The 24655-nt window shown below is 47.5% G+C and overlaps 1 protein-coding gene across 7 annotated transcripts in view; it reads left to right on the top strand.

Moving 5' to 3' along the window:
- The window catches only part of EVC2 (EvC ciliary complex subunit 2), a 180538-nt gene that overhangs the window by 9613 nt on the left and 146270 nt on the right, over positions 1–24655 (top strand). For all 7 annotated transcript variants that reach the window (XM_047449611.1, NM_001166136.2, XM_017007736.2 and 4 more), the window contains 6 exons: positions 2289–2343; positions 5435–5601; positions 8603–8671; positions 10593–10779; positions 14457–14566; positions 18623–18676. In XM_047449611.1, the coding sequence (XP_047305567.1) occupies positions 2301–2343; positions 5435–5601; positions 8603–8671; positions 10593–10779; positions 14457–14566; positions 18623–18676 (630 nt within the window). In that variant the 5' untranslated portion in view covers positions 2289–2300. The remainder of the gene's footprint in view (positions 1–2288; positions 2344–5434; positions 5602–8602; positions 8672–10592; positions 10780–14456; positions 14567–18622; positions 18677–24655) is intronic.

The following is a 24655-nucleotide window of genomic DNA, read 5'->3' as shown; positions in this document are numbered from 1 at the left end:
CTCCTGACCTCAAGTGATCAGCCTACCTTGGCCTCCCAAAGTGCTGGGATTACAGGCGTGAGCCACTATACCCAGCCTATTATTTATTATTAATATTTATTATTTATTTTTTTCAGAGAGGGTCTCACTTCGTCTTCTGGGCTGGAGTGCAGTGGCATGATCATAGCTCACTGCAGCCTCGACCTCCTGGGCTCCAAGTAATTCCTTCTGCCTCAGCCTCCCAAGTAGCTGGGAGTATAGGCATGTGCCACTACATCTGGCTAATTTTCTTTTTTTCTTTTTTTTTTTTTTTTGTAGAGATGGAGTCTCCCTATGTTGTCCTTTCCAAGGCTGCATAATATTCCATTTTATGGATGGACCGCATTTAGCTTATCCATTCATCCATTGATGGACATTTGGCTTGCTTCCACTTTTGGCTATTGTGAATAATGCTGCTGTGAACACAGATGTGCAAATACCTCTTCAAGACCTGGCTTTCAGTTATTCTGCATATATGCCCAGAAGTGGAATTCTGAATCATGCTGCTTTACTCTTTTTAATAGCTGCCTGGTACTCCATAGAATGTTTGTACCATAATTTACTATTTTAAATAGAATTCTTTACGCTGCCCATAACATAACATAAGCTCCGTGTGAACAAACTGAAGCCAGATGTTTGGCTCCATCAATGGGGAATGCTGGGGTGGGTTTGGTAGAAGCCTGTCTGGATCGAGCTGCACCCATTTTCCCTCTTCCCACACCTCTTGCCTGTCTCTGCCACTGTCTCTGCAATTTCCATCATTTCCTCCGTGTCCCTCCAGGAGTCTCCATCTCCGTGGGTGGGCCTCCTCCACACCTTTGGGGGAAAATCAGCCTCCAGCCCAGCTGGGGTTACATCACCCCAGCAGAACTGCCCCAGCCAGGGTCCTGGAGGCCTGTAAGGACTGGGGCTGAAACACACAGACAGTGGCCACAACAGTTGTCCCATCGATCCTGTCCCACCTTATGGTTTCCGTGGTGTCTGGCCCGCGTGAGAGCCATGTGAACAGTAGCCACATGGACTAGTCATTGGAACTGGACCCAAAGCCAGGCCTGAGCATCCCGCTCAACTCACATACACATCCTTTCTTCTTCCATTACACAGAAACCAGCCGTTGCGTGCAGGGTGAGCACATGTGCTAGGCCAGGCTGCTTGCGTGCCAGGCTCTGGAGTGAGTTATCTCATTACTGTAGACTGGGGGTAGTGCTGTACAATGAGTATAATGCTTCATGCATTTCTATAGGGACTACTTGTACAGTTCACTCAGTGCACATAGCGTAAGCACTGGCACATGGAGAAGGTTCCATCTGGGAGAGCTTTTACTGTTATTCAGTAGAGAGGTCTGAGTCTTTCTAGAGCCCAGTGATTCATAAAGGTAAATTGGAAGGGTTTGGCCAGGCTCAGTTTAGACAAATTTTCATCACCAATGAGGCTGAGCAGACTCGGAGGAGGCTTTGAGGTCACTTTTCAGAAGAGGGATCTGAGGCTCAGAGAGGCTGAGAGACTTAGCCAAGGACACACAGTGAATAAATGGTTCCAGCTAGAGTCCAGTTCTCTCCACTCCTCATCTAGTGTCTTATCTACCACCCTGGAAACTTGCAGGATCTTGGGAATTCGCAGGCTGTTGGCTTACCCAGGGTCCACAGAGTTGATGGAGGGCAGGGCTAACGTTTGAACCCAGGTCTGTCTGATGATAAGACATTTCAATCACATGGTGCGGCCTCCCTTGACAGCTCCCAGAAATGCATTCATGAGGGCGCTGATTCTCTCCCTGGGAAAGAGAAGGGAATTCTTTACTCAGAAGCTGCCGGGAATGGCCGACTTAGAAAAGTTTACTTCACACTTCTGGATGAAAGTGCAGGTCCTTGGCCGGACGCGGTGGCTCACACGTGTAATCCCAGCGCTTTGGGAGGCTGAGGCAGGCGGATCACGAGGTCAGGAGATGGAGACCATCCTGACTAATATGGTGAAACCCCGTCTCTACTAAAAATACAAAACAAAAAAATTAGCTGGGCGTGGTGGTGGGCGCCTGTAGTCCCAGCTACTCGGGAGGCTGAGGCAGGAGAATGGCGTGAACCTAGGAGGTGGAGCTTGTAGTAAGTCGAGATCGCGCCACTGCACTGCAGCCTGGGTGACAGAGCAAGACTCTGTCTCAGAAAAAAAAAAAAAAAGTGCATGTCCTCTCCATGTGAGTCATTTACAAAGATTATTTATTATCACTTCTCAGAAGTATGTGTTCCATTAATGACTTTGTGTCTTGAATTTTTTAGGACTTGCCCTGTATGATTTGGCCCAAAGTGGAATGCTGTCACTTTAAGACTGCAGGTGAGTTTTTCTTCTGGTTGATGTTCCCCTGTTTTGAGCATGAAAAACCAGAAGCCTGAAGCCCTCCTTCCTCCAGCTCCCTCACTCTCTGCTGATCCTTCCAGCACCTCTCTACTTTGGGCAAGTAGATCATTCCCTGACCTTACAGAACTAGGGCAGTGTACCTCCACCTCAAAGCTGGCCGAAGCGTTAGTGCACAGTGGAACCTAGGGTGAGGTAGGCCCTTTTTGATATCCCCTGAAGGCATTTGGTGAATGAAACAGAACGTGTGAATTAAATGGGTATATCAGTTTCCTGTGGCTTCCCTAACAAATGTTCACAAACAGTGGCTTCGACCACACACGTTTATTCTCTTACAGTACTGGAAAGCAGAAGTCCAACATCAGTTTCACTGGGCAAAGTCAAGGTGTCTGTCTGCTCCCTCTGGAGGTTCCAGAAGCGAAACCAATTCCTCTCCTTTTCCAGCATCTATGGCCGCATTGCCTGCGTTCCTTAGGGATGGATTGGGGATACTGCCCTCCTCCATTTTGGAAGCTAGCAGCATGGCATCGTGCCTCAGTAGTTACTTGGCCTTCTTCTCTTCTGTCTGTCAAATCTCTGTCTCCCTCTTATAAGGACATCTGTGATGACATTTAGGGCCCACCAGGATAATCCAGGCAATCTCCCCATCTCGAAGCCCTTAATGGAATCACATTTGCAAAGTATCTGAGACCCTAAGATAACATTCACAGCTTCATGGGGTTAGGACCTGGCTGTCTTTGCGGACCTTTATTCAGCTTGCCACACTCAGTGGTCGAAATTCAACTGACACTCATTTCATCAAGAGGAATTCATTGGCATCTGTAACTGAAACGCACAGGCCCTGGCACTGCTGGACCCAGGAGCACAAGGTTCTCAATGCTCCTACGGCTCTGCCTTTCTCCTTCCCTCTCAGCCGCCCTGCTTTCCTCTGGTGAGCATCTTTCACAGGCAGTTACATCCTTTCCCCATGGTGGGAAAAATGCCGCGGGCAGTCCCTGGCTCCTGAGCCTCATGGCTGGCACCTGCAGCGCAGACTTCCCAGCGGCTGTGACAGTTCCAGTGCAGGCCCCTGGGCTCAGCGTGGGTCCCCGGCCTGTCCCTGAACCTATCCCTGGGGCCACTGGGTGGGGTTGTCTGGGTTCTGTGCCTAACTCTGGTGTCCTGGGGAATGGGATGGGCTGGGATTCGGGTGGGCCCCACTTGGCTCTGTAGACTGAGCGGGATTCTTGCTGAATAGAGGAGGGGTCCTCTCTGAAGGGAGGGATCACTTTGGAGTCTTCATTAAAGCTGAGGACCAGGAGAGCCAGAGAGGCATAAACGGGTGGACCAGAGATGGAGCGCTTAAGGGTAAGGTGTGGCCTTAAGACTTTATGTCCTGGTTGCTTGCTGCACAAGCATTTGTGCCCTGGCCCAGGGTGCTGTGCTGGGGTCCGGAGATGGATGTCCGGTCTCACTTGCACCCATATGCTCTACTCAGACATTCCCGATGCTCTGAATCAGCCGCTCACCTGGTGGAGCACCCACTTGTTTCCATGGCGAGGGCCATCAGTTCCCCGATGCTTGATGCAATTGGAGCCCTTATCCCATCCCAACCTGAGGAACTGAATCACCCCCAAATACAACCCAAGGAAGGAAAAAAATACTGTAATTTAATCCAGGACCCAGCTCCACATCTTTTTTTAATCAGATTTTAGTTTTTTTCCTGCATATATTTTGAAATTCTATAGAAAGTTTCAAAAGCACTTGTAGTCTTTACCATCAATATGCTGGGTAAGAAAGACTGAAAAGTACACCTTATTTTCAGTCAAATTAGTTTGTATTTGAATAAAAGACAAATGTTGAAGAAGGCACAATGCCACCATCCAGGTCATTTCAAAACTAAAATTGCTGACTTGAAGCATTGGATACATCTAAGCACTTTCATGTGCAGTGTGGCATTTGATTGGCTGCTCAGACAACAGCCCTGTCTGATTGGTATCTTAACCACACACCCAGGTGAGGGGAACTGAGGCCCAGAGAACTCAGCTGACCTGTGCAAGGTCCCACAGTTGATCAGCACCTGGGCCGCATCCACTGAAGAGGGACCCTGACAGCCCAGCCCGGACCTTTTAAGTGACATTCCTGTGCTTTGCACACAATGCTCATGAACTTTCCAAATGTATTGACACAGAGAAAAATCTAAGGGAGTCATTTCTTTCTTCTTTTTTTTTTCTTTTTTTTTTTTGAGATGGAGTCTTGCTCTGTCGCCCAGACTGGAGTGCAGTGGCATGATCTCGGCTCACTGCAACCTCCGCCTCCCAGGTTCAAGCGATTCCCCTGCCTCACCCTCCCGAATAGCTGGGACTACAGGCGCACACCACCTCACCAGGCTAATTTTTTGTATTTTAGTAGAGACGGGGTTTCACCATGTTGGCCAGGATAGTCTCGATCTCTTGACTTTGTGATCTGCCCGCCTCAGCCTCCCAAAGTGCTAGGATTACAGGTGTCAGCTGCGGTGCCTGGCCCAGGAGTCATTTCCTATTGGAGGGCTCAGCAGGCGTTTGTGTCTGGCCGTGCACACATCCTCTTTAGGATGGTGGTTGGTGGTGTTCACTGAGGGCTTACTCTGCAGTAGGCGGGTGCCCAGAAGGACCTAGTGAGGTGAGACCTATGCTGTTTGCCTTAGAATTAAGCAAACCGAGGTATAGAGAGGTTAGAGGTTATGCCCAAGGACTCACAGCTGGAGGGGCAGAGCCAGGACTCAAGCCCAGGGCTGTCTAATGTCATGTGTGTAAGAATCAACCCAGGCATCATTCTTGCCCAGCAGTTCTGATTCCTAGGTGGGGCTGCACAACCCAGGTAAGGAGACGAGGCTTTGAAAAATGCTCTTCTTAAGTTCTGTAGCATCCCAGTGAGCATGTCTCATTTTCCTGGCAAAGAGATGATATCATTCATTCCTTCATTAACTTACTTACCCAACAAACGTCTTCTAAGTACCTTCCATGTACCCTGTAGTCTGTCTCTAGAGGTTAAGTTCTATGTCTTACTGTCTTTCCGCATTATATAAAACGGGTGTGTTGTTGTTTTGCAGTGGAAGCACCACTTGGAATGAAATTGGACAAGAAAATGGAAGTCTTCATCCCACTCTCAACTTCTGCAGCCTCTAGTGGGCCATGGGCTCATTCCTTATTTGCTTTTATACCCTCCTGGCCTAAGAAGAACTTATTTAAAAGAGAGTCTCCTATAACACACCGCCTGGTAAGTATTAAGTTCAATGCTTTAACACAAATACCAGAAGTTGGAAATAAACCAATTATGGCCTGTATATAAAATGGCACGGGTTTTTGTTGCTTAAAAAAACCCTATTCCTCCTCTTTCACTAAATATAGTTATCACTGGGTAGCAAATCCATTTATTTTTCCAAGGTGCTATTTCTGCTACACAACATACAGTATTTAGATGGAGAGGAGGTTTGACTCAGCATTAGGCTGCCTCATCTGGTGTTTCTGAAGCAGGGATTGGATTGTGCTTTAACCAGACCGAGTGACTGCCAGCTATTAAAGATGACTGTGCCCATAATAGCAGTGAACATTTCACAAGCATTTACTATGGGTCGGGCACTGGGTTTAGCACTTTCTATGTATAATCTCACTTGAGCCTCATTATGAGTTTCTTAAACAGTAATATTTTTATTCTCATTTTACAGACGGGAAATTGAGGATTAGAGAGATTAAGAAACTAGTTCCATGTCCCACAGGTAGAAGTGGCAGAGCTCCGTGCTCTTGCTGTTGTTTTCTATTCTGATTTTATGTAACGTGGGTTCAGTGACTTAACGTAGTACGAGAACTGTTGAGCTTGGCCAATGAGCTACGATGGCCAAGAGCCCTTTTTTGGGCTCCCTGCTAAGTAGTGATGTTAATTTCCTGGGGCTGCTGTCACAAATGACCACAAACAGCATGGCTGAAAACAACAGGAATGTATTTTCTCACTGCTGGGGAGGTTAGAAGTCTGGAAGCCCGGTGCTGGTGGGGCCACGCTCCCTCTGCAGGCTCTAGGGGAGCATCCTCCTCCCTCTTCCAGCTTCTGGTGGCTCCAGGCCATCCTTGGCTGTGGCTGGATCACTTGACTCTCTCCCTCCATCTGCTCTTGGCCTCCTCTGTGTCTGTGTCTTCTCTATGTGCCACTTATAAGGACACTTGTCATTGGATGTCAGGCCCACCTGGATAGTCCAGGATGATCTCTTGAGATCCTTAGTTTAATTACATCTTCAGAGACCTCTTTTCCAAATAAGGACACATACACAGGTTCTGGGGATCAGAACACAGACATATCCTTTGGGGTTCATCTCTGAACCCACTACAGTACTCATTGTTCTTTCCAGTCCTCTCCAGTTACAGGTAACTCGTCACCTCACAGGGCAGCACCCTCCATACTCAGTCGTCCCTTCTGCATTTATTTGCTCCACAAGCTGTATTTATCAGTTATTGTTTGCAAGATGCTATATGAAGGTCAGAAGAGAAAGCCAGGTCCCTGCTTGAGGGCTTTGGCAAATTCTCTTAGGGTCCCAGCACGTTAAAAAGGCATTAGCGGGGGTGTAGTGGATGGAAGCTCAACTGAATCAGAGGCCTGGGTCAGGCTGATGCTGTTGCATATTGTCCGCGTGTTCTTTGGAAAATGGCATTTTTGTTAATTTTCTTTTTTCTTTTTTTTTTTTTTTTTGAGACGGAGTCTCGCTCTGTCGCCCAGGCCGGACTGCGGACTGCAGTGGCGCAATCTCGGCTCACTGCAAGCTCCGCTTCCCGGGTTCACGCCATTCTCCTGCCTCAGCCTCCCGAGTAGCTGGGACTACAGGCGCCCGCCACCGCGCCCGGCTAATTTTTTGTATTTTTAGTAGAGACGGGGTTTCACCTTGTTAGCCAGGATGGTCTCGATCTCCTGACCTCATGATCCACCCGCCTCGGCCTCCCAAAGTGCTGGGATTACAGGCGTGAGCCACCGCGCCCGGCATTTTTGTTAATTTTCTACACAATGAGAGGGTTACACTGTGGAGAGGGAATGCATGTTGTGGAAAGATCACAGGATTTGGAGTCACACAGGCCTGGGGAGAGTCTCGAGCTTCCTGCCTGAGTAATCTTTGGCAAGAGTATTAACCTTTCTGAGTCTTAGTTTCCTCATCTATAAAATGGGAGTAATAGAACTCATGTATGTAAAGTGATGGCTGCCATGCCTGGCCCTCAGCCAATGACAGACATTTTATGGTTATTAGGCCCAGTGTGGTGGCTCACGTTTATAATCCCAGCACCTTGGGAGGCCAAGGCAGGAGGATCACTTGAGGCCAGGAGTCCAAGGCCAGCCTGGGAAACATAGCAAGGCCCCATCTCTACAAAAATAAACAAAATAAATAAAAAATATACAAAACATACGATTATGAATATCACTGAGAGCTGCCAGAGTCCGTGACTCAGAATACAGCTTGTTCCACTGCAGGTGACAGGTGCGCAAGGCAGAGAGTGGGAAAGATGTGGTCATCACAGCAAGGAGAGCCAAGGAGGGCTTCCTTGATGCAGTAAGGGTCCAGTCCCATTTAAAGGAGGTGTGTGGATACTGCAGGGCCCTGGGGCAGGGAGCATGGCAAGAGCAGAAATGAACAGATATTTGTTATTAGTCAAACGGAAAGGAAACCTGCGGTTTCAAGGGCAACAGGAGGCTTGTGTTTGATGGATGAGCCCTGGCTTTCCTTTGGAACCTTTTCGTAGGAGCCATTGCAGGGCTGGAGGAGGCCAAGCATTGGTGGGGGGATTCCTTATGTTGATGAGGGATCAAGCTCACAGAGAGGCTGCCCCCAGCCCCCAGACACACTGCCCTTTGTTCCAGCGCACCATGGTGCACAGGTGTACTGTCAGCCCACACCTGGTAAGCACACGGTACATGTTAAATGATATCTTCACTGCTCTGCCCACGTCCCCCTTGCTGGTATGTCAGTCTTGGTTGGCTGAGCCCTGTGACAACAGGTGTCCCACACTTGCACCCAGACCAGGAATACACTGTGGTGTAAGCTCATGTCCACATTCTTCTTTCCATAAGTTTTAATTTCTAATCCTTTAATGCTCTTTTAAAAAATAAGACTTCAAGATTACTTAAGGATTAGTAGCAGTAATCTTTCTACCCTCTGTAAAAATTTCATTATCTTGTACTTTTATTAAATATGTATAGCATGAAATATTTCTCATTTTCTAATAACTTTTACATTTTATTGTAGTATGGGGACATTTCAAGAGAAGTTCAAGGGACTTCTGAAAATGGAGTAATTTTTCAGAAATGTGCACTGGTAAGTTTCCACTGGTGGTGTATATTTGAAGAGAAAATAATTGGATTTTGCCCAGATCATTTTATTAGAGTCATGTATTTAAGAACTGATAAATCATGGGCTTACCTACACAAGTCTAGACACATGAGCAATGAACAAATAGCAAGGTCTGTGATATCTCATATGGCAATACTAGGACTGAGATTATTTTTGTTACAATTAAATAATTGTCAGTAAAAATCCACAGAGATCATTTAGAATGGGAAAAAAGTCTGATATATTTTGTTTCAGATTATAATCATTAATAGGGTACCTGACAGTTTTCAAAGTTGTTTAATGTTTTTTAGGTCTTTAACCTTCCTAATCCTACAAGGTGGTTACAATCCCACATATTATCCTTGTGTCAGGGGTCTCCAGCACCTGCCTTAGGGTCAGTGATTTGCTAGAAGTACTTACAGAACTCAGAAAAGCCATTCTGCTCAGTTACAGTTCATTACAGAGAAAGGGTATAGATTAAAGCCAGGAAAGGAAAAAGGTGAATGTCGCAGAGCCCAGGAGAGACCAGGCATGAGCTTCCGGCTGTCTCTCCCAGTGGATGAGTTGTGTGGACAGAGCTTAGTTCTCCCAGCAATAATGTTTGACAATCCGGATGGAATATTGCCAACCAGGGAAGCTCACTGGAGCCTTTGGGTCCAGGGTTTTTCTCAGGCTCAGTCACATAGGCATGGAGCACCCATGAGACTGACCTCAGTTACTCGTTCTCTAGCCCCTCCAGAGGTCATTTCAGTACAGCAGGGTCCAAGGCACCCATCACAACTCATTGGCATCAGCTATCTGGTGAGGTCAAAGGACCCAGGCATATTAAAAAAAAAAAAAAAAACAACAACCCACACTGTAATCAGGCAAGGATATTCTGCAGGCTTTAGAGGTTATCTTTCAGGAGCTGCTCAAGGGCCAGTCCTTTCTCCTGAATGTGGAGGGTTTGGACAGCCCAGGCCTGCTGAGTTAAGCCTTTCCTGTGCCACCCTCATTTTATCACAGGCCCTCAACTACATTGTTTGCCTTCCTGGATGCAATCAGTGTTAGTAGTTTCTTGTATATCCTTCTAGTGACTTTTTCTGCCATATGCATGCAGTTATAAGTGTGTGCACATGCATGTATACATAGATGTACCTTCTTTCTCCCCCACTTTTTTTCACACAGGTGGCAGTATATTACACACACAGTTCTGAAGCTTTCTTTTATCACTTCTTATATTCCAGAGCTCGCTCATCTCAGCACACACATTGCTTCCTTCTCTTTTTTCTGGCTCCTGCATGTATTTCAGCAGAGCTGGAGAGAAGCTGGTGCAGGAGGGCTGGGAGACAAGATTAGAGAGGAAGGCAGGGCAAGAGTGCAGAGCCCAGGTGATGAGCCTGTTGCATGGGCCGCTGGATGGCTTCTGGCAGTAGAGCCACTGAGACATGTGCTGGGCAGAGCCTGAATGTGGGAGATGATCCAAGAGGCGGACGAGCAGCTCGGGTCCTTCCTGGAGATCACATGACCATCAGAGACCCTGGGCTGAGGCTGAATCTTCAAAATAACTAAGTACCAAGGAGCCATTGTTTGCTTGGTAACACTGGTTATCACAATTTCCCCAACCTGACTGGTTCTGCACTTGGAGATTTTTCTTCTAAGATTCTCTGCAAGGATTATTTCACTGCATTTCAGCATCTCAGTTTCTTTGAAACTGTCTCCAAGCAACAGCTTGGGAAGTGTGGGTCAAAACCTCTTGGGGGTCTTTGAAATCATACTGAGACTGATAAATTCCCAGGCCCTCTGCGAGACCGTGCTACCCTCCTTCTTCCTGGATGCCTAATGTGCACAGGCTGGGCTCATGCCCCATTTTAGGAAGCTGGACTTGTCAGCAAATCTGCCCTCATGCCTTCTCCTTCTGCCCTAGGTGTCTGGGTCGAGTGAAGCACAGACAGCCCGCATATGGCTGCTTGTTAACAACACCAAGACAACCTCGTCAGCCAACCTCTCGGAGCTGCTCTTGCTGGACAGCATTGCTGGTCTCACCATTTGGGACTCTGTGGGAAACAGGACCTCGGAAGGATTCCAGGCTTTTAGCAAGAAGTTTCTGCAAGGTAACAGCAAAGCGTTCTGAAGTCAGGGATGACAAATGAGAATATGTACAGATACTTCCAGGTGAATGTGTTCTGGGTCAGGCATGTTCTTAAAGCCTTACACATGTTCACTCTCCTAATCCTCACAGTGGATCTTACTATCAGGGTATCAAAAAAAGAGAAAAGAGACCACATTCAATATCTGTAACCAAAAAGCTGAATTTCTCATTTATCTTAGAGAGATGTTGGATTTGGGGAAAGAGTTGTGGGAAATTTTTAAAAATACATAGTCTATTTTTATTATGAAAAATTTCAAACATGCACAAAGATAGAGTTGACAGTGGACCCCAGTATACCTGTCACTCAGATCACCAAAATTAACCATCACTCAGGAAGATGAAGAGTTTGTTTTGGGTTGTGCCGGACAGAGTGGGAGTGGGTTGACATCCGTCTCAGTAGCATGTTCTTGAGCTGTCCAGGTGTGTTCAGGTGTTCAAGCATGTTCACTGGGGTAACTCCAGGGCTGCTTGGTTGGCTTGTAGACTCTGCCACCCTCACTGGTTGGCTTTCAGAGGTTCGTTTCCTGAGGTGGGCTGTTATTGGTCAATTAAGCAGGTTTAAGACCAATTCTGGGATTCAGTTGGTACCATGGCTTCAGAACTTAGTTTCCCTAGGAGGGCAAAGACATCTTTTATTCTTAGTAGGACCTCATTTACAGATGAAGAGACTGGGACTAAAGTGGCTGAGAAGCTTGCCCGAGGTCATAGGGCTGGCCGCTGTCAAGGCTGAGTCAAGCTCAGGCAGTGTGGCTCCCTGTGCACCGTGGTAACCTTTAAACCGTCATGCTTCTCACACGCCTGGAACTCTTACCGACTCCATGCCTCCGTACTCACGGCACACATCGCTCATCAGTCATGCTGTTCCTTCCCTCTGAGCCTAGATAAGGCCTCAGAATCCTTCTTAACACGCTATTATTGACAGAAGCTACTAGTGGAGCTTGCCCACAAGTAGTGACCTTTTTGCTGGCTCTCATTTAAATGATGTCATAAAAGTTGTTATGAGATGTCCCAGCTAAGTGACCTTCAGTGCTTTCCTGCCTTCAATGATATAAAGATGAATCCGCTATTCTTAACTCGTGTTCAAAGCATGGAGCATGGAGCCACGAGCAGAGCATAGATGCAGCCTCAGATGGACCTGGGTGACTCCCAGCCTTGTGACTGAGAAGCTGCGTGGCTTCTGCAAAGCTATTGAAGTGCTCTGGTTGTGCGAATATCAGTCCATTGTGGAGTCGTAGAGATAGAATCAAGGAGACAATGTCACCCAGACACTCTGCCTGGTAAAGGGAAGGTGTCCAACACCCTCTTCAGCCCGTGGTCCTGCACGTCTCTCATCTCATTTCCCCGCAGACCTTTCATGGTCCATGCTCCTGCGAGACCCAGCTTCCTACCCTTCTCCTATCTCCTAGCATCTACTCTTGCTCTTGTGTGGGTCAGGAAAGCACCTCTCCCCAACTCTGAATATACAAATCATCTCTATTCTTTGGGACCTGGCCCTGGTGTCACCTTTTCTAGAAAGCCCTACCCAGTCCCTTGCCCCAAAGTCACCCCTCTGCCTCCAAACTTCCACAGAGACTACCTGCCCCTTCCTGCTTCCCTGCTTGGAGCCTAGGGCCATTCTAGGCACTTTCCACACGTGAATTCATGGACTTCTGCTCTAGCACGTGCACACTGCATGTCTCTGAACCTTGGCTCTCCATCTCTCCTCTGGGCATGCTAGTAACACCCACCTAGGAAGGCGCTGTGAGGGTAAGGGAGTTAAAGCAGTATGACGCAGCCCGGCTGTGGAAAGTGCTCCCGGGCTCCTGGTAATAGGAGGTATTTTGTTGGTGGTTTTTTCTTTTCTTTTCTTTTCTTTTTTTTTGAGATGGAGTTTCATGCTTGTCGCCCAGCCTAGAGTGCAGTGGCACAATCTCGGCTCACTGCAACCTCCACCTGCCGAATTTAAGTGATTCTCCTGCCTCAGCCTCCCAAGTAGCTGGGTCTACAGGCGTGTGCCACCATGCCCAGCTAATTTTTGTATTTTTAGTAGAGACAGGATTTTACCATATTGCCCAGGCTGGTCACGAACTCCTGACCTCAGGTGATCCACCTGCCTTGGCCTCCCAAAGTGCTAGGATTACAGGCGTGAGCCACCATGCCCGGCCACTGTTGTTGTTATTTTTATTCTTACTGCTCCATTCTTGTTATTTATGCCCATGCTTAGCTCTACCTACTGGGCTCTACATTCCCTGAGGGCAGTGTCCAAATCATATTTATCTGTGAACTCACCGCTACGCCAAGGAATGTGACATTGATTTTCACCTTGGGGCACAGGTGACTTTTTTTTTTTTTCCCCAAAGCATAAGTAGATAACTATAAAATCAAATGACCAGTCAGGTCCCAGTTCATTGACATTCTGACCTCATCATTATTATTTGGTGCTTTTCTTTTATTAGAGCCAGTGTTGTTTGGGGAAAAGATGATGGGACCCAGAGGGTCAGGTGGCTCCCTGTCCATCAGCGGGGTGATCCTAAGCCAGTCACTGTCTCTCAGTTTCAGTTTCTTCTTCTGTATGTTGCAGAAAATCACGTGTTCTCCATCCATCTCGGGGCAGTGTGTGGAGATCAGCTGGGTTAATGCAGGTGCAGCACGTGGAGAGTGATGAAATCACTGTATGGGGAAGGTCTGACTATGACTTCTTTCCCCGTCATTGTCATTGTCACTGCCATTATCTTTATCACTTTACGTTCATTATCTTAGCTCTAGGTTATATAAAAATAAAATGAGATGAGCATGGTCCACACCTAAAGTCCCAGCTACTCAGGAGGCTGAGGCAGGAGGATCACTGGAGCCTGGGAGTTCGAGACTAGTCTGGGCAACATAGAGAGAGCCTGTCTCAGAAATAAATAAATAAAAAATTTTAAATAAAAATGAAAATGTTGAGGATTTTTAAAACAAAAATGCCAGTGATTCCTTAGGCTAAGTGAGCGTTCCTCCTCTTTTCTTTACTCTGTGTGTGTGTGTGTGTGTGTGTGTGTGTGTGTAATATATATGTGTGTGTATATATGTTATATATGTGTGTATATATGTATCTATATATATTTTTGAGGTCTGCATACATTGAGAAATGAGGCATATTGTGGCGTTTTAGGGCTATAAGTAAACTCTGTTAGGGAGAAAGGCAGATTGGAGGACAAGCTTAGGTGAGAACAGTGACTGGCAGAGTTAGACGGGCTCCATCACCCACCCGGCCACATCAGGCGAAGGCCTCCAGTCCTGGTACAGCCTCTCCCGAGCAGGATGGGCTGAGCACAGCCCACCCAAACTTACCTATGGGATGAGGTGCGCTGCACAGTGAGAAAGGGCTAGGAGAGCCAGCCCTGTTGCGGGTGGTGCACCCCCACTCGTGAATGGAAACGTCAGGAGTGGGAGTCCAGGAGTCCACCCAGCTCACTCTCCCCAGCTTACTACTCAGAGAATTCCCTCCCCACACCCAGCTGTGTGCAATACAAAGGGCTTCCTTGCTGCAGGCATCACTGCCATGGTGGCCTCCCTTGGAACCACTGAAGCCAGGGGCCAGGATGTGTCTGGGGTGTGGTGGGGTGCAGCCGGGGGCGTGGCCAAGCCCTCCCTGAGTCACATGTGCTTTTCTCTGCGCAGTGGGAGATGCCTTTGCTGTCAGCTACGCAGCCACGCTCCAGGCTGGAGACCTCGGGAACGGGGAGAGCCTCAAGCTTCCTGCCCAACTCACCTTTCAGAGCTCGTCACGGGTATGACCTTTGTTACTTTAATCTCTGTCTTGCCACTGCCAAGAGAGGTTGTTTTAGAAATAGGGACACTTCAGACAGAAGACCTGTTAGTTCCTTCCTTCCTTCAGTGATGCCACCTAGCAGATAAGGGCATAGGCCCTGGAGTCTCACACGCCTTGCCATGAACTGGGCTCCCTTAGTAATGCCCATGTGACTTTGCCTAAGTTACTTAACCCCTCTGGGCCTCACATGAGGTTATCATAAGGATAGGTAATCAATACATGTGAATTCTCTTCCCTGTGTCCTGCACACTGTAAGCAACTAACCGGTAGTTACCATTACTATTAATTTTGCAGGGCTACCATAACAAAGTACCACAGACTAGACTTAAAAACAACAGAAATGTATTGTCCAGGAGGCTGGAAGCCAGAGATCAGGGTGTCTGCGGGGCTGATTCCTTCTGAGACCTGTTCTTGGCTTTTGGAGGCTGCCTTCTCCCTGTGTCTTCCTAAGGCCTTCCCTGGCTGCACGTCTGTCCTAGCCTCTTCTATAAGGACACCAGGCATACAAGACCATGACCCAGCCTAGCAACCTCACTTTACCTTACTACCTCTGTAAAGACCCTGTCTCCAAATGCAGTCACCATCCTAGGGCACTGGACTTCAGACTTTAACATATAAATTTTGGGAAACACAGTCTGGCCCATAACACCATTACTGTGAGTCTCCCCATCTCTCACTGCCCCTGTGGTGGGTTCACTTACGCAGTGAATGCTGGCTGGCTGGCTGCCTGTCCTGGCAGGTGCTGCACACCCCGGGTACAGGCTGGAGGAGATGTGGTCCCCGACTTCAAGGAGATCATGATGCTCTGCTTCCTTTTGTCATTTTATTGTGTCTTCAGCCTCTGGAGAAAGTCTTCCCTATTCACGGACATGGAAGATGAGGCTCATAGCATGACTGTGACTGCCCCAGGTCACATAACAGAATCAGATTGTACCCTGCAGCCTCCTCCTGAGGCCTCCTTCCACCCTGAGGCTGCGAGGCCAGTGTGGTGGTTCTGCTGCAATGAGGGGAAAACAAAACAAAACAAAACAAAAAACCTTAGATAAATTTAGATAACATGAAAGAGGCTAAATACAAGATTCAAGAAATTGACATAAAACTACTGGGAAGGACAATTCTCTCAGGAAATAATTCAGTATAAGGGTACAAAAATAGAGAACAAAGGCAGATTTTGGAAAACATGGATAAAATGGTCCAGAAGAAATCATAACAATTTCAGAAGGCAGGAAACCAAGTAAATTAGCAAGATAAGGTAAAGTAATGATAAGGAAAAGACAAGGTAAGCATCAGAAAGCAAATCAGAAACTCTGAATGAAATGAAATGGAAGCTTCCATGTCCTCAGGCAGGAGCCTCAGGAGCTGAAGCCCCGGGCAGCTGTGTGTGTTCCCGGGCAGCTGTGTGTGTGTTCCCGGGCAGCTGTGTGTGTTCCCGTGTAGCTGTGTGTGTTCCCGGGCAGCTGTGCGTGTTCCTGGGCAGCTGTGTGTGTGTGTTCCTGGGCAGCTGTGTGTGTTCCTGGCCAGCTGTGTGTGTTCCTGGCCAGCTGTGTGTGTTCCTGGGCCGGGCTGGCTTGAGCAGGGGGAGGTTTGTGGTTCCACAGAGCCTGGCTCCCTGCATGCTCTGGGAGGACCTTCCTCGTGGCTTCCCCTGCCCCACCCTGAAATAGTCCCGCCTGTTACTTTGTTTGGTTCCTGTCTGTGATATTGACTCTACCCCTTAGGAACCCCTCCCCCACTCCCTCACTAGAATGTCAGCTCCGTGAAACCAGGGACCTAGTGTGTCCTATTCACAACTGTGTCTCCAGGGCCAAAAAGAGAACCCTGCACGTAATAGGTGCTCAGTAACATTGTGTTGAATCCCACTTGGTCCATGTTTTCTGGCTTCATGCTAGGAACTAAAAAACGTAACTGCATGCATGTACTGGAGTGAGGATTTATGTTTCACAAAGAGCTGAAGACAAGCTTTGATAGCACGCTTTAGGCTCTTATCTGCATATCTGTGGGAACACAGCAGAATGTACTAGAATGTGGGCTCTGAACTTAGCCTCAGGCTCCAGCTCAGGAGACCCTGAGACTCCAAGGCACCGTACGTATTCCAAAGCAGAGGTAACTCAAGAATGGAAAAGGCCAAGGGAATGAATGCCTCAGAGGTGTCTCTTCTTTAGAGTCATATTCTAAAACTGTTCCATTTCCCTCCTATGAAAAGAGGACTTACGGTATTTTGATTTTCGCTGAAGCCTCCATGAGGTTGCCTGCTGGCCCACAGTGGATTTGGGAAGTCCCACTGCTTCCTAGCACTGCTGCCATAACATCTGTAGGGCATGGATCGGGGATTTGCTACCTTGGGAGGAGCATAGCTCAGGTTACAGAAAAATGCCTTAGTCGCGTCTGTAATGAGAATTACATGGGTTGCTGAGCTCACTGGGCTGCAAGCTCTAAGTCCCAAGGTCTGGTTCTTTTTTTTTTTTTTTTGAGACAGCGTTTCACTCCTGTCGCCCAGGCTGGAGTGTAATGGCGCAGTCTGGGCTCACTGCAACCTCCGCCTCCCAGGTTCAAGCGATTCTCCTCTCTCAGCCTCCTGAGTAGCTGGAATTACAGGCACCCACCACCACACCTGGCTAATTTTTGTATTTTTAGTAGAGACAGGGTTTCACCATGTTGGCCAGGCTGGTCTCAAGCTCCTGACCTCAGGTGATCCACCCGCCTCGGCCTCCCAAAGTGCTGAGATTACAAGTGTGAGCCACAGCGCCCAGCCAGTCTGGTTCTATATAATGATACTACTGCTACTACTATTGCTATTGCTTTTAAAAAATTTTATTATTATTATTATTTTTTTTTTTTGAGACAGCATTTCACTCTTGTCACCCAGGCTGGAGTGCAATGGCATGATCTCAGCTCACTGCAACCTCCTCCTCCTGGGTTCAAGCCATTCTCCTGCCTCAGCCTCCTGAGTAGCTGGAATTACAGGTGCCCGCCACCACACCCAGCTAATTTTTGATTTTTAGTAGAGATGGGGTTTCACTACATTGGCCAGGCTGGTCTTGAACTCCTGACCTCAGGTGATCCACTTGCCTTGGCCTTCCAAAGTGCTGGGATTACAGGTGTGAGCCACCGCCCCCGGCCTGCTATTGCTACTACTGCTGCTGCTGCTGCTAATGTTACTACTACTACCTACAGCCACCAATAGCAGTAATATTTTATAGCATTCCCTAGTGCCAGGCACTCTTCAGGGTTCTATATTACCTAAGTTAATCTTCATAGCAATTCTGTGAGTTGAATATGATTACCATTTCACAGATGAGAAAACAGAGGCACAGAGAGGCTAATACCTTGCCCAAGGTCCAACTGCTGGTGAGCAGTGGGGCCCTGTATGAACTTAGACAGCCTGGCCCTAACCACCACCCTATAGACAGCCTGTCAGTGGCAAGCTATTCTGCCTTTACCCCCAGGAAGAAGTATGTTCTCACGGTGGGTCTTGTCGGTCACCATGCGGTTAGACAGGTGGATACCATGACACACTTTATTTTTCTGTTTCCTGTATCTTCTCAGCAGAGGAATATTAGAGAGCATTAGGAATAGACCCACAGCGGGTTGGGGCTTGGAGAATCAAGTGCGTTTGAGTGAGAGAAGAACACGTGCAGTGCAGTCAGAGCCCAGGATTCCATCTACCTCTGTGAAGGAGGCAGACGCTGGGAGAGTGGAGGTGACCTGCCTTGGTCACAGGCTTGGAGTCAGTGCCCAACCCCAAGCGTTTCTCCACAAGGGCATGCTGCCATGACTTTCTCTGGATGTTAGCGAAGCTGGTGTTTGGATTTCACACGGCCTCCAGTAGAGAGGGAGGGATCCTATCCCCAAAGCCCCTTCCTCCTGATGGTGAGACCTTCACAAGCTCTGACCTGTGCAGCAGTTAGGGCTGATTGTAGCTCCAGGCTTGGAGGGTTGGAAATCGCACCAAATGTTATCCCACGTGTCAGACCCCAAACTGTTGCTGAAAGTGTTTTCTTTTTTCCTTTTCTAGAACAGAACACAGCTGAAAGTGCTTTTTTCCATAACAGCAGAAGAAAACGTAACGGTAAGAGACATGACATGCCCTGAGCACCCTCAGGACACACCTGTGCTGTGTGGGTCCTGCCTGTCCTTGGAGCCATGGGGAGCGGCCAGCTGCTGGCCTTGGTCCCCCAGTTATGCGTTGAGACTGGGACTCTGTGCAGTCTCTCGGGTCCCCCGTGTGCCCTGAGGCTATCTGACTGGTTTCCCTGGATGACCCTCCACCTGGACAAGGCAGGTAGGCCGTGGGCTGGACAGGCTGAGGCTCCACAGCCCGTCTGTGCTACTGTCCAGTCACGCTCCTACCTATCCCCAGTGTTTGCCACTAGGTCAAGCTGCTGGTGACATTGTGTTTTCCCAGATCTTCCCAAAGCCTGCAGTCTGTGGGGCGGGTCTCTCTGCTTCTGCTCTTCACCATAATACTTCTCCATTTCTGTTCTTCAGTTTAATCATTTGCAGCTCACATGTTCACTCACTCATGTATTCACCAAGTGTTAATTCACCAGGTAACAACACTTCACGTTTCTTAAAACTGGGTGCCAAGCATTCTAAGCAATTTACTTATGTGGAATTATGTCATCTTTACCACAGTCTTGTGAGACAGATTCTATTTTAAAATCTCTGCCATTTCAGATGGGGAAACCGAGGCACATTAAAGTCAAGTGATTTGCCCAGTATCCCATGGCTAGAATGTCAGGGTCCCCAACACCCACCCCCGGGTTCGGTGATTCTCTAGGGTGACTCACGGGACTTACATATACAGTCACGCGCCACATAATGACATTTTGGTGAACAGTGGACTGCATATATGAAGGTGGTCCCGCAGGATTACAATGCAGCTGAAAAATTCCTGTCACCTAGTGATAATGTGGTTGTGTAATATCCATCGTAGCATGGTGCGTTTACTCACCTGTTTGGTGATTCTGGTGTGAAACCTACTGTGCTGCCAATCATAACAAGTCTAGCACATACCATTATGTACAAAACATAATACTTGATAATGACACTAAAAGACTATGTTGCTGGTTTACGTATTTACTATACATACTTTTTATTGTTATTTTAGAGTGTATCCCTTCCACTGATCAAATCCGAAATAAGCTTACCTATAAATCAGCCTCAGGCAGGTCCGTCAGGAGGGATTCTAGAATAAGGCATTGTTATCCTAGGAGATGACAGGTCCATGCCTGTTATTGCCTCTGAAGACCTTCCAGTGGGACAGAGTGTCGGGGTGGAAGGCAGTGATATTGATGATCCTGATGCTGTGCAGGACTAGGCTAATGTGTGTCTTAGTTTTTAACAAAAAGTTTAAGAAGTGTTTTAAAAAAATACCTTAAAAATATAGAAAGCTTACAGAGTAAGGATATAAAGAAAGGAACTATTTTTGTATAGCTGTACAGTGTGTTTGTGTTTTAAGCTGTGTTATTACCAAAGAGTCAAAATGTTAAAAAAAAAATTACAAAGGTAATAAAGTCACAGGGAGGGGAACATCACACACTGGGACCTGTCGGGGGATGGGGGGCAAGGGCAATTACATGTGGGGCTTAAAACCTAGATGACAGGTTGATAGGTGCAGCAAACCACCATGACACATGTATACCTATGTAACAAACCTGCACGTTCTGCATATGTATCCCAGAACTTAAAGTAAAATAAAATAAAATAAAAAATAAAAAATTACAGTAAGCCAAGATTAACTTATTACTGAAGAAACCTGCACAGCATATATTTTTAAAATAAATTTAGTGGCCAGGCATAGTGGCTCATGCCTGTAATCTCAGTACTTTGGGAGGCTGAGGTGGGCTGATCACTTGAAGCCAGGAGTTCAAGATCAGCCTGGCCAACATGGCTAAACCGGTCTTTACTAAAAATACAAAAAAAATTAGCTGAGCATGGTGGTGCGTGTCTGTGATTCCAGCTACTCGGGAGACTGAGACATGCGAATTGCTTGAACCTGGGAGGCGGAGGTTGCAGTGAGCCGAGATCATGCCACTGCACTCCAGCCTGGTTAACAGAGTGAGACTCTGTCTCAACATAAATAAATAAATGTAGTGTAGCCTAAGGGTACAGTGTTTCTAAAGTCTATAGTCGTGTACAGTCATACCCTACGCCTTCACATTCACTCACCACTCACTCACTGACTGGCCCAGAGCAACTTCCAGACCTGCAAGCTCGAGTTATGATACATTTCCTATACGAGTGTATTTTTTTTTTTGTCTTTTGTACATATTTTTCTTTTCTTTCTTTCTTTTTTTTCTTAGAGTCTTGCTTTGTCGCCCAGGCTGGAGTGCAGTGGTACGTTCTCAGCTCACTGCAACCTCTGCCTCCCAGATTCAAGCGATTCTCCTGCCTCAGCCTCCCAAGTAGCTGGGATTACAGGCACCCACCACCACAGCCAGCTAGTTTTTATATTTTTAGTAGAGACGGGGTTTTACCACATTGGCCAGGCTGGTCTTGAACTCCTGACCTCAAGTGATCCGGCCACCTCGGCCTCCCAAAGTGCTGGGATTACAGGCTTTGGTACCTTTTCCATACTTGGATCTGTTTATATATACAAATACTTAGTACGTGTTACAGTTACCTACAGTATTCAGTACAGTAACATGCTGTACAGGTTTGTAGCCAGGAGGAATAGACTATACCGTAGAGCTTAGGTGTGTAGTAGGCTAGATCATCTAGGTTGGTGTAAGTCACTCTGTGGTGTTTGCACAATTAGGAATTTGCCTAACAATGCATTTCTAGGAACATCTCTTCCTTGTTAGGTGATGCATGCCTGTAGTTGTACCCACTGCTATGACTTACTACAATGAAAAGATACAAAGCAAAATCAGCCCAGGGAAAAGTTGCATGAGGAGAAGTTTGGAGAAAATCACTTGCAAGTTTTAAGAGTCCTCTCCCAGCAGTCACAGAGGGGATGCTTCATCTCCCCAGCATGAGTTGTGCTAACACATGTGAAGTATTATCTACCAGGGAGGCTCCTTAGAGACTCAGTGCCAGAATTTTCACTGGGGGCTGGCCACGTAGGCACTCTCTGCCTGGCATATACCAAGATTCCAGACTCCCAGAAGGAAAGGAGGTGCTCAGCATAAGCCACACTGTTTGTACAGACAGTTTGAAAACAGAGAGCCACTCTTACCAGAAAATAGTGGAAACCCTCCCAAAATCCATGTTCCCAGACATCAGCTGAGGCCCAGCCCTACAGGAAGGGCTTTCAGAGGATGCCAGTCTCTGGCTGGAGATGTTAACTCTTTTCTGCATGGCTAGTAAGTGGCAGGACCAGGATTTGAACCCAAGCAGTTTGGCTCCAGAGCCCTGCTGTCAGGCACTGGACCACACCGCCTCCCAGAGAGCCAGAGTCCTGCACAGAAGAGACGAAGAGAAAGTACAAGGCTGGCGTTAGGTGAGTGTTCAGTTTAGTGAGGCTGTCGGGTGCACTGGTAACCAGTCTTCTGGTGGTCTGTGAGCTCCTGGCGGGTGAGGCCATGTCGGATTTGCCTGTGTCCCCCACTGTGCGGTACATTGTAGGTGGCACTCAACAGGTAAATATCCCGTGATTGAGCTTATTGTCGTCAATGACGATGATTGCTGCTCAGGAGGAGGAGGTGGCTGGTTGCTGTATGAGTGTAATAAAAGGCAGAGAATGCTCATGTAAGGGTATTTCTGAGCTCTTCCCCGATGCCGCAGGCTCACTTATGGATGGAATTGAGCCATGCCGAGGTCTTCCAGGCTTCCCGTCACCTGCATGTTGCCTTCAGGAGAAAGAGGAATAGTTGCCCCCTGGGATGCAGACCTGTGGATGCAAGTCCTGGCCGTGGAGCTGGGGCTGGATTTCAGCCACACCAGCCCCCAGGACAGGCGCCCCCAGGCTGTGGACCACATTCAGGGAGCTCCCTGTTGAGTGGGAAGAGGAGGTGTATGCACAGGATGGCCCTATGGTGTTGTGTGGGCCCAGCTGACTCTTGGACCATAAGGCCTGGCTTTGAATCCCTGTCCCTCCACTGATTGCATGTGAGCTTGGGCACGTCACTTACCTCTGAGGGCCTCAGTTTCCCCAACTGTGAAATGAGAGTAATAACAACGTTCACTTCATAGGATGGTTGTTGAGGTAAATGGATCAAGGGCTGTAAAGTACTCAGCACAGTGCCTGGCACTGTGAGGGCTCCATAAATGTCAGCTGTTGTCGTCAGCAGTATTATTACTATTATTTACACATGAGAACAGCACAGCTGTGCCAAGTGTTCTGTGATGCTGACAGTGAATGTTTTGCATCAGGGCCTCATGCCCCAATGCCCACGGGGGCTACACAGGTGCTATAAGTGTACCTCAGGCTCAGTGCGAGATGCTAGGAAGTAATGGAGCGTGCGGCAGCATGGACACTCGGGTTGCCTGTCACCCACCATCCCCACCCTCACACTGAGGCACTACATGAAAAAAAAAGACCGAAGAATGCACAGCGCTCACTGAATTTGTGAGTTTGTGACCTGAAATATAGATTGCTTGTACCATGGACACTGACAGCAGAGAGAGAGAGAACTCCATGGGCTGGGTGGACTGGCAGGCTTCCTGGAGGAGGAAGAATTCAATTGGGTCTTGAAGGTAAGATTTAATTAAAGTTGGGGAAGGGGCAGCTGAACATCTGACTTCTAGGTTAAGCCAGTGTTGACTGCTTGTCAGGCATGAACCAAACACTACTCTTGTATGTGACACATACATAAGGATGAGGCAAGGCCGTGGCAGTCATAGCATGTGTTCCAGCAGGGCTGATGGCGGCGGGGACCTGCAGAGATAGTGGGATTACACCAGACAGGTGTGATGGCGATGAATAGGATGAGTTTGCCAGGAGGGTGGCAGCACCCCTGACATTTGCATCAGGCAGTTTAAAAATACAAGGTAAAGATGTGAGGCTTCCATTGTGTAAATAGAGATTCTGCCACATTTGGGAGCTACCCCATTGTCTCCTTAATTTCCTGTTACTTTCCTGAGGGTGAAACTGACACATGTCAGCCAAGGAAAATGAGGCCCCAAGAAATTGTTTCTCATTTTTTCTCAAGAAGTTGTCTTCCCCTTTCTGTCTCCTGGATGAGAGTACTGTCTTTTTGAGAGAAGATAAGAATCACACATTGAGTGCAGGTCTCAGATGGCACTAGATATCCCCTTCTGTGTTCATCACATGTGCCCATGAAAGGGCTGGGTACTGTGCCGGGCACCAGGAGAACAGATCACAGTGTTCTGCTGCCAGGATCTCAGGTCTAATCAGAGAGAGACATTTAAACCAATTGTTATGGTACCCCAATTCATTTAGAGTGCAATTCCAATACTAATTTTGTTTTTGTTGTTCTTAAGATGGAGTTTTGCTCTTGTTGCCCAGGCTGAAGTGCAATGGCGCGATCTCGGCTCACGGCAACCTCTGCCTCCTGGGTTCAAGCAATTCTCCTGCCTCGGCCTCCTGAGTAGCTGGGATTACAGGCACCCACCACCAGGCCCAGCTAATTTTGTATTATTAGTAGAGATGGAGTTTCACCATGTTGGTCAGGCTGGTCTTGAACTCCGGACCTCAGGTGATCCACCCACCTCAGCCTCCCAAAGTGCTGGGATTACAGGCATGAGCCACCGCACCCAGGCTCCAATACTAATTTTAATGGGACTTTAGAGGGGATGTGAAAAAAAATCATAGTTTCATCTGAAAATATAAATTATGAACCCAGATGGGAAGGTTTTGAAAATGAAGAGTAATGTGGGAGGGTTTACCCTAGCAGATATTAAAAATATTACAAAGCTACATTAATGCAGCATTTGACTGCTACGAGAAACATCAGACCAATGGAACAAAAGATAAAATCTACACACACATCTATCAATATGTTTTAAACCAACGGGAGGAGGAGGATGTATCATGCATGAATTTGGTAACAACTGACTGGGTCTTTTGAAATAAAGACAAAGATGAATTTCCTAATTAGATTAAAATCTAAATATAGCAATTAGTAAAAAGTAAATATGGGCT

Source organism: Homo sapiens, chromosome 4 (genome assembly GCF_000001405.40).
Source record: "Homo sapiens chromosome 4, GRCh38.p14 Primary Assembly".
NCBI lineage: Eukaryota > Metazoa > Chordata > Mammalia > Primates > Hominidae > Homo > Homo sapiens.
This window is presented reverse-complemented; position numbering and strand designations above follow the sequence as displayed.